The sequence below is a fragment of the Homo sapiens genome, chromosome 12 (genome assembly GCF_000001405.40).
Source record: "Homo sapiens chromosome 12, GRCh38.p14 Primary Assembly".
Taxonomy (NCBI): Eukaryota; Metazoa; Chordata; class Mammalia; order Primates; family Hominidae; genus Homo; species Homo sapiens.
This window is the reverse complement of record NC_000012.12, coordinates 118,793,957-118,808,389: the sequence shown is the minus strand read 5'-3', so window position 1 is coordinate 118,808,389 and position 14,433 is coordinate 118,793,957.

Sequence of the window (14,433 nt, the reverse complement as noted above, 5' to 3'; positions counted from 1 at the left end):
TGACAAACCTTTAGCCAGACTAAGAAAAAAGAGAGAAGATGCAAATAAATAAAATCAGAAATAAAAAGGAGGCATTACAATTGATACTGCAGAAATTCAAAGGATCACTAGCAGCTACTATGAGAAACTATATGCCAATAAATTGAAAAATCTAGAAGGACAAACTCCTAGACACATACAACCTCTCAAGATTGAACCAGGAAGAAATCCAAAACCGGAACACACCAATAACAAGTAATGAGATTGAAGCCATAATAAAAATTTCCCACAAAAGAAAAGCCTGAGACCTGATGGCTTCACTGCTGAATTCTACCAAACATTTAAAGAACAATTAATGCCAAACCTACTCAAACTATTCCAAAAAATAGAGGAGGAAGAAGTACTTCACAGAAATAGAGAAAACAATCCTAAAATTTATATGGCACCAGAATAGTAAAAGCTATCCTAAACAAAAATAACAAAACTGAAGGAATCACATTACCTAACTTCAAATTATACTACAGAGCTATAGTAAACAAAACAGCTTGATACTGGCATAAAAACAGACACATAGACCGATGGAACAGAATAGAGAACCCAGAAACAAATTCACAAGCAAGCTCACTTTCAACAAAGGTGCCAAGAACATACACTGGGGAAAAGACAGTCTTTCCAATAAATGGTGCTGGGAAAACTGGATATCCACATGCAGAAGAATGAAACTAGACCGCTATCTCTTGCCACATAAAAATCAAATAAAAAGGAATTAAAGACTTAAATCCGAGACCTCAAACTGTGAAACTACTAGAAGAAAACATTGGGGAAAATCTCCAGGACATTGGGTTGGGTAAAAATTTCATGAGCAATACCCCACAAGCACAGACAACCAAAGCAAAAATGGACAAATGGCATCACATCAAGTTAAAAAGCTTCTGCAAGCAAAGAATACAATAAACAAAGTGAAGAGACAACCCACAGAACAGGAGAAAATATTTGCAAACTACACATCTGACAAGGGATTCATAATCAGACTATATAAGGAGCTCAAACAACTTTATAAGAAAAATATAATACTCTGATCAAAACACAGGCACAATATTTGAATAGACATTTTTTAAAACAAGACATACAAATGGCAAACAGGCATATGAAAAGGTGCTCAACATCATTGATCATCAGAGAAATGCAAATCGAAACTACAATGAGATATCATCTCACCCCAGTTAAAAGGACTCATATCCAAAAAAAACAGGCAATAACAAATGCCAGCAAGAATATGGAGAGAAGGGAACCCTTTTACACTTTTGATGGGAATGTAAATTAGTACAACCACTATGGGGAACAGTTTAAAAGTTCCTCAAAAAACTAAAAATTGTGCTACCATATGATCCAGCAATCTCACTGCTAGGTATATAACCAAAAGAAAGGAAATCCATATATCGAAAAGATATCTGCACTCCCATGTTTGTTGAAGTGCTGTTTACAGTAGCTACGATTTGGAAGCAATCTAAGTGTTCAACAACAGATAAATGGATAAAGACAGTGTGGTATATATACACAATGGGGTATTATTGAGGCATAAAAAAAGAGTGAGATCCAGTCATTTGCAACAACATGGGTAGAACTGGAGATTGTTATGTTAAGTGAAATAAGCCAGACACAGAAGGACAAATTGCAGGTTCACATTTATTTGTGGGATCTAAAAATCAAATCAACTGAACTCATAGACATAGAGAGTAGAAGGATGATTACCACAGGCTGGGAAGGGTAGTGGGGCTCAGGGAGGTGGAGATGTAGGGATGATTAATGGATTCAAAAAAAATAGAATGAATAAGACCTACTATTTGATAGCACAACAGGGTGACTATAGCCAATAATAACTTAATTGTACCATTTAAAATAACTTAAAGAGTTTAATTGGACGGTTTCTAACAGAAAGGATAAATGCTTAAGGGGATAAAAAAAAACAAAAGCAATGTATAAAAATTAGTAGTATTCCTACACACCAACAACTTCCAAGCTGAGAGCAAATCAAGATTGTAATCTCATTCACAGCAGCAACACACACAAGCACACACACACACACACACACACACAATACCTAGGTGTAGTACAGCTAATCAGGGAGGTGAATCATCTCTACAATGAGAATTACAAAACACTGCTGAAAGAAATCAGAGATGACACAAACAAATGGGAAAACATTCCATGCTCATGGATAGGAAGAATCAATATTGTTAAAATGGCTATACTTTCCAAAGCAATTACAGCTTCAATGTTATTCCTATCAAACTACCAATGACATTTTTCACAGAATTAGGAAAAACTATTATAAAATTCATATGACACCAAAAAAGAGCTTGAATAGCCAAAGCAATCCTAAGCAAAAAGAACAAAACCAGAGGCATCACAATACCTGACTTCAAACTATACTATAATGCTACAATAACCAAAACAGCATGGTACTGCTACAGAAACTGACACATAGACCAATGGAACAGAATAAAGAACCCAGAAATAAAGCCGCACACCTATAACCATCTGATCTTCAGCAAAGTCAACAGTAACAAGCAATGGGGAAAGGATTTCTTATTCAATAAATGGTGCGGGTTACCTGGCTCGCCATATGCAGAAGATTTTAACTGGACCCCTTCCTTTCACTATATACAAAAATCAACTCAAGGTAGATTAAATACTTAAATGTGAAACCTAAAACTATAAAAACCCTAGAAGAAAACCTAGTAAATATCATTCTGGACATAGACCCTGGCAAAGATTTCATGATAAAGACTCCAAAAGCAATTGAAAAAAAAATTGGCAAGTGGGACCTAACTACACTAAAGAACTTCTGCACAGCAAAATAAACTATAAACAGAGTAAACAGACAGCCTACAGGATGAAAGAAAATATTTGCAATCTGTGCATCTGACATAGGTCTAATATGCAGAATCTCAAAGAAACTTAAACAAATTAACAAGCAAAAACCAAACAACTCCATTTAAAAATAGGCAAAAACATGCATATATGCTCCTCAAAAAAAGACATACATGTGGCCAACAAACATATGAAAAAATGCTCAACATCCTAATCATTAGAGAAATGCAAATCAAAACCACTATGAGATACCATCTTACACCAGTCAGAATGGCTATTACTAAAAAGTCAAAAAATAACAGATGCTGGTAAGGTTGTGGAGAGAAGAAAATGCTTCCACACTGCTGGTGGGAATGTAAATTAATTCAGCCATGTGGAAAGCAGTTTGTAGATTTCTCAAAGAACTTAAAAATGGAACTACCATTTTATCCAGCAATCCCATTCTGGGTACACACCCAAAAGAATATAAATTATTCTACCATAAAAACACACACACATATATATTAATCACAGCACTATTTTTTTTTGAGGTGGAGTCTCCCTCTGACACCCAGGCTGGAGTACAGTGGCACAATCTCAGCTCACTCCCAACTCCACCTCCTGGGTTCAAGCAATTCTTCTGCCTCAGCCTCCCAAGTAGCTGAGATTACAGGCATGCACCACCATGCCCAGCCAATTTTTTTTTTTTTAGTAAAGACGGGGTTTTGCCATGTTGGCCAGGTTGGTCTCAAACTCCTGACCTCAGGTGATTCACCCTCCTTGGCCTCCCAAAGTGCTGGGATTATAGGCGTGAGCCACCACACCCAGCCCACAGCACTATTCACAGTAGTAAAGACCTGGAATCAACCTAAATGCCCATCAACAGTGGACTGCATAAAGAAAATATGGTACATATACACCATGGAATATCATGCAGCCATGAAAAAGAATGAAATCATGTCCTTTGCAGCAACATGGATGGAGCTGTAGACCATTATCTTAGGTAAATTCACACAGGGACAGAAAACTAGACACCACATGTTTTCATGTATAAATTGGAGCTAATCATTGAGTACACATGAACACAAAAAAGGGAAGAATGGATACTGGGGCCTACTTGAGGGTGGAGGATGGGAAAAGGGTGCAGACCAAAAAACTACCTATTGGATAGTATGCTTATTATACCTGAGTGATGAAATAATCTGTACACCTAACCCCCACAACATATAATTTACCCATGTAACAAACCTACATATATGTAACCCCTGAACTTAAAATAAAAGTTGGAAAGAAAAAAAATGATTAAATAAATTAAAATGCTACATTAGAAAATATTCACTTGTTGCAAAAGAAAGCAGTAAAAGAGGGGAGAAACAAAAGACATGAAATATTTAGAATACAAACAGTAAAATGACAGACATAAATTCAACTATATCAACAATAACATTAAATGTAAATAGATTAAGAAGTCCAATCAATAGACAGAGACTATGAAACTAGATGGAAAACAAGATCCAACTATATGTTATCTTTAGGAGACATACTTTAGAATCAAAGATACAAATTAATTGAAAGTAAAAAAATGGGAAAGATGTATCATGCAAATAAAAATCACAAGAAAACTAGAGTGTCTATACTAATATCAAACAAAATAGACTTTAAAACAAAACATGTCACTGGAGATAAAGGAGAATTTTTATAATGATAAAAGGGTCAATCCATCAAGAAGATATAACAACTATATATGTATCAAACAACAGAACACCAAAATATGTGAAACAAAACTGACAGAAATGAGGAAAGAAACAGACAAATCAACAAAAATGGTTAGAGACTTTAATAACTTGCTTTTAATAATGGATAAAAAAACTAGGCAGAATACCAACAAACAGAAGACTTGAGCAACATTATAAACATATTAAAACAGGCACTATTGAACACTCCACCCCTAAACTCAGAATATACATTTGTCTCAAGTGCATATGGAACATTCTCCATGATAGACCATAAGCTGTGCCATAAAACAAACCTCAACAAATTTAAGAGGATAGAAATAATACAAAGTATATTATCTAGCTACAATGAAATAAAATTAGGAATGAACCAAAAAATGTGGAAAATTTAAGCATATATTGAAATTAAATAACCTATTCCTAAATAACCAATGGGTCAAAAAAGATATCAAAAGGAAAAATAGAAAATACTTTGAGATGAATGAAACTGTCAACACAATATACCAAAATTTATGTAATGCTGCTAAAGCAGTGCTTGGAAGGAAATTTATAGCTGTAAATGTCTATATTAAAAAGAAGAAAGATAACACAAATAACATAAATTTCTGCCTTAAGGCACTGGAAAGAAGAACAAACTAAACCAAAAGCAAAGAGAAGAACAAAATAATAAAGTTTAAAGGAAAATTGATGAAACAGAGAATAGGAAATGAATACACAAAATCAATGAAACCGAAAGCTGATTCTTTGTGCAGATCAACAAAACTGACACACCTTTAGCTAATGTGCAAAAGAGAAAAAGAGAGGAGCCTCAAATTACTAAAATCAGAAATGAAGAGGAGAAATTACTACTGACCTTACAAAAATAAGAAGGAATTATAAAGGAACATCGTGAACCATTTTATGCCAATAAATTAGATAATGAGATGAAATAGACACATGCCTGTAAAGCCACGAACTACCTAAACAGACTCAAGAAGAAACAAGCAATCTGAATAGACCTATAACAAGTCATGAGATTGAATTAGTGATCAAGAAACTACTCTGAAAGAAAATCCAAAGCTCAAATGGCTTTGTGGGTCAATTTTGTCAAACACTTAAAGAATATAGAAGGGGAAGGAACACTTCCCAACCCATTCTTTGATACCAAAACTAGACAAAGAAAAGAAAACTAAAGACTTATATCCCTTATGAATATGGACGCAAAAATCCTCCAAAAAAATTAGCAAATCAAATCTAGCAACATATAAGGAAGTTATACACCATACCCAATTGGGATATCATTTATCTTAGGAGTACAAGGGAAAGGTTAATCTAACATCTGAAAATCAATTAATGTAATACACCGTATCAGTAGAATAAACAACAAAAACCACATAAGCATCTTGATAGATGCAGGTAAAGCATTGGATAAAATCCAAAACTCTTCATTATAAAAACACACAACAAACAAAGACTAGAAAGAAACTTCCTCAACCTGATAAAAGACATCTATAAAATACCTCACAGCCAATATAATACTTAATGGTGAAAGACTAAATGTTTTCCTTTAAGATCAGGAATACAAAAAGGATGTCTGCTCTCACTTCTTCTCTTCAACATCATACTAAATTTCCAACCAAAGCAATTAGGCAAGAAAAAGAAATAAAATATATCCAGATTGGAAAAGAAGAAGTAAACTGTCATTTTGCAAATTGCATGGTCTTGCATATAGAAAATCCTAAGAAATCCACTAAAAACTATGAGAAAAAATAAACAAGTTCAGTTTATTCAAGGATACAAGATTAATATATAGAAATCAATTGTATTTCCATGCACTTTCAATGAACAATCTGACCATAAAATTAAGAAAATTTCATTTACAATAGACACCAAAAGAATAAAATATATAGGAACATATTTAACAAAAGTATAAAACATTCTCTGGAGGCTATAAAATATTGTTGAAAAAAATTAAAGAAGATGTAAATAAATAGAAAAACATCTCATGTTCATTGACCAGATGACTTAGTATTGTTAAGATGGTAATACTCTGAAAATTGAACTATAGATTTAATGCATCCCTGTCAGAATCCCAACTGACGTTTTCTGTGGAAATTGGCAAACTGATTCTACAACTCATATGGAATTGCAAAGGACCCATGATAGCCAAAACAATTTTGAAAAAGAAGAACAGAGTTGGAGAATTTATACTTCCTGATTTTAAATTTTACCACAGAGGAACAACTATCAAGACAATGTGGTCCTGGAATAAGGATGAACACATAGAAAAAGATAGATTAGAATTGAGAGTTCAGTAATAAACCATGTGTCTACAGTAAACTGATTTTCAAGAAAAGGGCCAAGGCCATTGAATGAGGAAAGAATAGTCTTTTGAACAAATAGTGATTGAACAACTGGGTAGTCACATGCAAAATAATGAAATGTGAGCTACCTCAACCATACATAAAAATTAACTCAACGTAGATCAAAGACCTAAACGTAAGAGTTAAAACTGTAAAACTCTTAGAAGTAAACAGAGAAATAAATCTTCACGACCTTAGATTTGGCATGGATTCTTAGATATGACACCAAAAGCACAAGTAACAAAAGAAAACTATAAATTAGACTTCAAATTGTAAACTTTTGTGCTTCAAAGGGTGAATCCAGGAAGTGAAAAAGCAAAGCACAAAATGCGAGAAAATATTTGCAAATCATATATCCAATAAAGGACTTTTATCTAAAGAGTGTAAGGAACTCTTACAACTCATAAAAAACAAATAACCCAATTAGAGATTGGGCAAGGGAAAATAGACATTTATCTAAAGAAGGTATAGAAATAAGCACATAAAAATATGCTCAGCATCATTAGTCTTCAGGGAAATGTAAATGAAAACCACAGTGAGGTACCCACTTTACACCTACTAGGATTGGCTAGAATAAAAAAAGTTGGAGATAACAATATTGACAAAGATGTGAAGAAATTGAATCCCCCAAACCCTGCTGATGGAATGTAAAATGGCACAGCCACTTTAGAAAACAGTCGGGTAATTCTTCAAATTGTTAAACATAGAGATATCATATGATCCAGCAATTCCACCCTACAGATCTACCCAGGAGAAACAAAAATATATGTTCATGCAAAAATCTGTACAGGAATCTTTATGAAAGCATTATTCATAATAGCCAGAAAGTGGAAACAACTCAAATACTCATCAACTGATGGATAAATAAACAAAATATAGTATTATATATCCATACAATGGAAAATTATTTGATTGTAAAAAGAAATACAGTTCTGATACATGCTATAACATGGGTAAACCTTGAAAAGATTGTGCTAAGTGAAAGAAGTCAGACACAAAAAAACACATATTATATGATTCCATTTAAAACTACCAGAATAGTCAAATCTATAGAGACAAAAAGTAGATTTGCAGTTGCTTATTGATGGGGAGGGGGAGGTTTGGGAAGGTGATAACTAAAGAGTATGAAATTTCTCTCTAAAACTACTAGAAGAAAACAGGGTGAAAGTTCCATGACATTGGTCTGGGGAATAATTTTTTGTATATGAACGCAAAAGCACAGGCAACAAAAGCAAAAACTAGAAGAACGGGAGTGTATCAAACTAAAAAGCTTCTGCACAACCAAGGAAACAATCAACAGAATGAAGAGTTAACCTGTGGAATGAGAGAATATATTTGCAAATTATACATCTGATAAGAGGGTAATATCCAAAATATATAAGGAACTCAAACAACACAATAGTAACAAAACAAATAACCCAATTAGAAATTCAAAGGATCTGAAGAGACATTTCTCAAAAGAAGACATACAAATGGCCAAAGAGTGATGAAAAATGCTCAAAATTACTAATTATCAGCAAAATGCAAATTAAGACTAGAATCAGGTATTACTTCACAACTGTTAGAATGGCTATATGAAAAAGACGGAAGATAAGTGTAGAAGAGAATTTGGAGAAATGGGAACCCTGGAATGTAAATTAGCACAGCCATTATGGAAAACAGTATGGAGGTTCCTCAAAAAAATTAAAAATAGAACTACCATATGATCCAGTAGTCCTATTAAAGGGTCTATTTCCAAGGGAAATGAAATCAGTATATCAAAGAGATATCTGCATTTTCATGTTCATTGCAGCATTATTCACATGGCCAAGGAATAGAACCAATTTAAGTGCCCACTGATGGATGAATGGATAAAGAAAACGTGGTACAGACCTGGCAAGATGGTCGAATAGGAACAGCTCTGGTCTGCAGCTCCCAGTGAGACAAAGGCAGAAGGTGGGAGATTTCCGCATTTCTGACTGAGGTACCCAGCTCATGTCATTGGGACTGGTTAGACAGCGGGTGCAGCCCACAGAGGGTGAGCAGAAGCAGGGTGGGGCATTTCCTCACCTGGGAAGTGCAAGGAGCTGGGGACCTCTCTCCCCCAGCCAAGGGAAGCCGTGAGGGACTGTGCTATCCGGCCCTGATACTGCACTTTTCCTATGGTTTTTGCAATCTGCAGACCAGGAGATTCCCTCGTGTGCCTACACCACCAGGGCCCTGGATTTCAAGCACAAAACTGGGCAGCTGTTTGGGCAGGCACCGAGCTAGCTGTGGGAGTTTGTTGTTGTTGTTGTTGTTGTTGTTGTTTTTTCATATCCCAGTGGTGCCTGGAACCCCAGCGAGACAGAATCATTCACTCCCCTGGAAAGGGGGCTGAAGACAGGGAGTCAAGTGGTCTTGCTCAGTGGGTCCCATTCCCACGGACACCAGCAAGCTAAGAACCACTTGCTTGAAATTCTCACTGCCAGCACAGAGGTCTGAATTTGACCTGGGATGATCAAGCTTGGTGGGGGGAGGGGCATCTGCCATTACTGAGACTTGAGTAGGTGGTTATCCCCTGACAGTGCTAAGGAGGCCAGGAAGTTTGGACTGGGTGGAATTCACCACAGCACAGTAAAGCAGCTGTGGCCAGACTGCCTCTCTAGATTCCTCCTCACTTGGCAGGGCATCTCTGAAAGAAAAGCAGCAGCCCCAGTCAGGGGCTTATAGATAAAACTCCCAGCTCCCTGGGACAGAGCACCTGGGGGAAGAGGCGGCTGTGGGCACAGCTTCAATGGACTTGAACTTTCCTGCCTTCCAGCTCTGAAGAGTGCTGGAGATAAGCAGGATTCTCCCAGCACAGCGCTCAAGCTCTGCTAAGGGACAGACTGCCTCCTCAAGTGGGTCCCTAACCCCTGTGCCTCCTGACTGGGAGACACCTTCCAGCAGGGGTCAACAGATGCCTCATACAGGAGAGCTCCAGCTGGCATCAGGCTGATGCCCCTGTGAGACAAAGCTTCCAGAGAAGGAGCAGGCAGCAATCTTTGCTGTTCTGCAGCCTCTGCTGGTGATACCCAGGCAAACAGCATCTGGAGTGGACCTCTAGCAAACTGCAGCAGACCTGCAGGAGAGGGACCTGACTGTTAGAATAAAAACTAACAAACAGAAAGCAACAGCAACAACATCAACAAAAAAGACCTCCACACAAAAACTCCATCCAAAGGTCATCAGCCTCAAAGATCAAAGGTAGATAAATCCATGATGAGGGAAAATCAGCGCAAAAATACTGAAAATTCCAAAAACCAGAATGCCTCTACTCCTCCAAATGATTGCAACTCCTCTCCAGCAAGGGCACAAAACTGGACAGAGAAGGAGTTTGACGAATTGACAGAAGTAGGCTTCAGAAGGTAGGTAATAACAAACTCCTCTGAGCTAAAGGAGCATGTTCTAACACAATGCAAGGAAGCTGAGAACCCTGATAAAAGGTTACAGGAACTGCTAACTAGAATAACCAGTTTAGAGTAGAGAATAAATGACCTGATGGAGCTAAAAACACAGCACGAGAACTTCATGAGGCATACACAAGTATCCATAGCTGAATCAATCAAGCAGAAGAAAGGATATCAGAGACTGAAGATCAACTTACTGAAATAAGGTATGAAGAAAAGATTAGAGAAAAAAGATGAAAAGGAATGAACAAAGCCTCCAAGAAATACGGGACTATGTGAAAAGATCAAACCTCCGATTGATTGGTGTACCTGAAAGTGACAGTGAGAAGGGGACCAAATTGGAAAACACACTTCAGGGTATTATCCAGGAGAACTTCCTTAACCTAGCAAGACAGCCCAATATTCAAATTCAGGAAATACAGAGAACACCACTAAGATAATCCTCAAGAAGGGCAACCCCAAGATACATAATCGTCACATTCTCCAATGTTGAAATGAAGGAAAAAATGTTAAGGGCAGCCAGAAAGAAAGGTCAGGTTACCTACAAATGGAAGCCCATCAGACTAAGAGCAGATCTCTCTGCAGAAACCATACATGCCAGAAAAGAGTGGGGGCCAATAGTCAACATTCTTAAAGAAAAGAATCTTCAACCCAGAATTTTATATCCAGCCAAACTAAGCTTCATAAGTGAAGGAGAAATAAAATCCTTTACAGACAAGCAAGTGCTGAGGGATTTTGTTACCACCAGGCCTGCCTTACAAGAGCTCCTGAAGGAAGCACTAAACATGGAAAGGAAAAACCAGCACCAGCCACTGCAAAAACACACCAAACTATAAAGACCAATGACATTGTGAAGAAACTGCATCAACTAATGTGCAAAATAACCAGCTAGCATCATGATGACAGGATCAAATTCACACATAACAATATTAATCTTAAATGTAAATGGGCTAAATGCCCCAATTAAAAGACACAGACTGGCAAATTGGATAAAGAGTCAAGGCCCTTCAGTGTGCTGTATTCAAGAGACCCATCTCATGTGTGAAGACACACATACACTGAAAATAAAGGGATGGAAGAATATTTACCAAGCAAATGGAAAGCAAAAAAAAGCAGGGGTTGCAATCTTAGTCTCTGATAAAACAGAATTTAAACCAACAAAGATAAAAAAAGACAAAGAAGGGCATTACACAATGGTAAAGGGATCAATGCAACAAGAAGAGCTAACTATCCTAAATATATATGCACCCAATACAGGAGCATCCAGATTCATAAAACAAGTTCTTAGAGACCTACAAACAGACTTAGACTCCCACAGAATAATAGTGGGAGATTTTAACACCCCACTGTCACTATTAGACAGATCAATGAGACAGAAAATTAACAAGAATATTCAGGACTTGAACTCAGCTCTGGACCAAGTGGACCTGATAGACATCTACAGAACTCTCCACCCCAAATCAACAGAACATACATTCTTCTCAGCACCACATAGCACTTATTCTAAAACTGACCACATAATTGGAAGTAGAACACTCCTCAGCAAATGGAAAAGAATGGAAAACATAACAGTCTCTCAGACCACAGTGCAATCAAATTAGAACTCAGGATTAAGAAACTCACTCAAACTGCACAACTACATGAAAACTAAACAACCTTCTCCTGAATGACTACTGGGTAAATAATGAAATTAAAGCAGAAATAACGAAGTTCTTTGAAACCAATGAGAAAAAAGAGACAATGTACCAGAATCTCTGGGACACAGCTAACGCAGTGTTAAGAGGGAAATTTATGCACTAAATGCCTGCATCAGAAAGTGGGAAAGATCTGAAATTGACAACCAAACATCACAATTAAAGGAACTAGAGAAGCAAGAGCAAACAAATTCAAAACCTAGCAGAATACAAGAAATAAGTAAGATCAGAGCAGAACAGAAGGAGATAGAGATACAAAAAACCCTTCAAAAAAATCAATGAATTTAGGAGCTGGTTTTTTGAAAAGATTAACAAAATAGATAGACTACTAGCCAGACTAATAAAGAAAAAAGAGAAGAATCAAATAAACACAATAAAAAATGATAAAGGGGACATCACCACTGATCCCACAGAAATACAAACTACCACCAGAGAATACTATAAACACCTCTACAGAAATAAACTAGAAAATCTAGAAGAAATGGATAAATACCCGGACACATACACCCTCCCAAGACTAAACCAGGAAGAAGTCAAATCCCTGAATAGACCAATAAAAAGTTCTGAAATTAAGACCAATAACAAGTTCTGAAATTAAATAATTAATAGCCTACCAACCAAAAAAAGCCCAGGACCAGACAGATTCATAGCCAAATTCTACCAGAGGTACAAAGAGGAGATGGTACCACTCCTTCTGAAACTATTCGAAATGATAGCAAAAGAGGGACCCCTCCCTAACTCATTTTTTGAGGCCAGCATCATCCTGATACCAAAACCTGGCAGAGACACAACAACAACAAAAAATTTCAGGCCAATATCCCTGGTGAACATCAGTGCAAAAATCCTCAATAAAATAATGGCAAACTGAATCCAGCAGCACATCAAAAAGCTTATCCACCACAATCAAGTTGGCTTCATCCCTAGGATGCAAGGTTGGTTCAACATAAGCAAATCAATAAATGTAATTCATCACATAAAGAAAACCAAAGACAAAAACCACATGATTATCTCAATAGATGCAGAAAAGGCCTTTGATAATATTCAACACACTTTCATGCTAAAAACAGTCAGAAAACTAGGTGTATTGATGGAACATATCTCAAAATAACAAGAGCTATTTATGACAAACCCATAGCTAGTATCATACTGAATGGGCAAAAGCTGGAAGCACTCCCTTTGAAAACCAGCACAAGAAAAGGATGCCCTCTCTCCCCACTCCTATTCCACATAGTATTGGAAGTTCTGGCCAGGGCAATCAGGCAAGATAAAGAAATAAAGCATATTCAAATAGGAAGAGAGGAAGTCAAATTGTCTCTGATTGCAGATGACATGACTGTATATTTAGAAAGCCCTATTGTCACAGCCCCAAAACTCCTTAAGCAGATAAGCAACTTCAGCAAAGTCTCAGGATACAAAATCAAGCTGCAAAAATCACAAGCATTTCTATACACCAATAATAGACAAGCAGAGAGCCAAATCATGAGTGAACTCCCACTCACAATTGCTACAAAGAGAATAAAATACCTAGGAATACAACTTACAAGGGATGTGAAGGACCTCTTCAAGGACAACTACAAACTGCTCCTCAAGAAAATAACAGAGGACACAAACAACTGGAAAAAAATTCCATTCTCATGGATAGGAAGAATCAACATCATGAAAACGGCCATACTGCCCAAAACAATTCATAGATTCAATGTTATTTCCATCAAGCTACCACTGACTTTCTTCACAGAATTAGAAATAACTACTTTAAATTTCATATGGAACCAAAAAAAGAGCCCATACATCCAAGGCAATCCTAAGCAAAAAGAACAAACCTGGAAGCATCATGCTACCTGACTTCAAAATATAATGCAAGTCTACAGTAACCAAAATAGCATGGTACTGGTACCAAAACAGATATATAGACCAATGGAACAGAACAGAGGCCTCAGAAATAACACCACACATCTACAACCACCTGATTTGATTTTCGACAAACCTGACAAAAACAAGCAATGGGGAAAGGATTCCTTATTTAATAAATGGTGCTGGGAAAACTGCCTAGCCATATGCAGAAAACAGAAACTGTACCCCTTCCTTACACCTTATATAAAAATTAACTCAAGATGGATTAAAGACTTAAATGTAAAACCTTAAAACCATAAAAACCCTAGAAGAAAACCTAGACAATACCATTCAAGACATAGGCATGGGCAAAGACTTCATGACTAAAACACCAAAAGCAATGGCAACAAAAGCCAAAACTGACAAATGGGATCTAATTAAACTAAAGAGCTTCTGCACAGCAAAAGAAACTATCATCAGAGCGAACAGGCAACCTACAGAATGGGAGAAATGTTTTGCAGTCTATCCATCTGACAAAGGGCTAATACCCAGAATCTAGAAACAACTTAAAACAAATTTACAAGAAAAAACA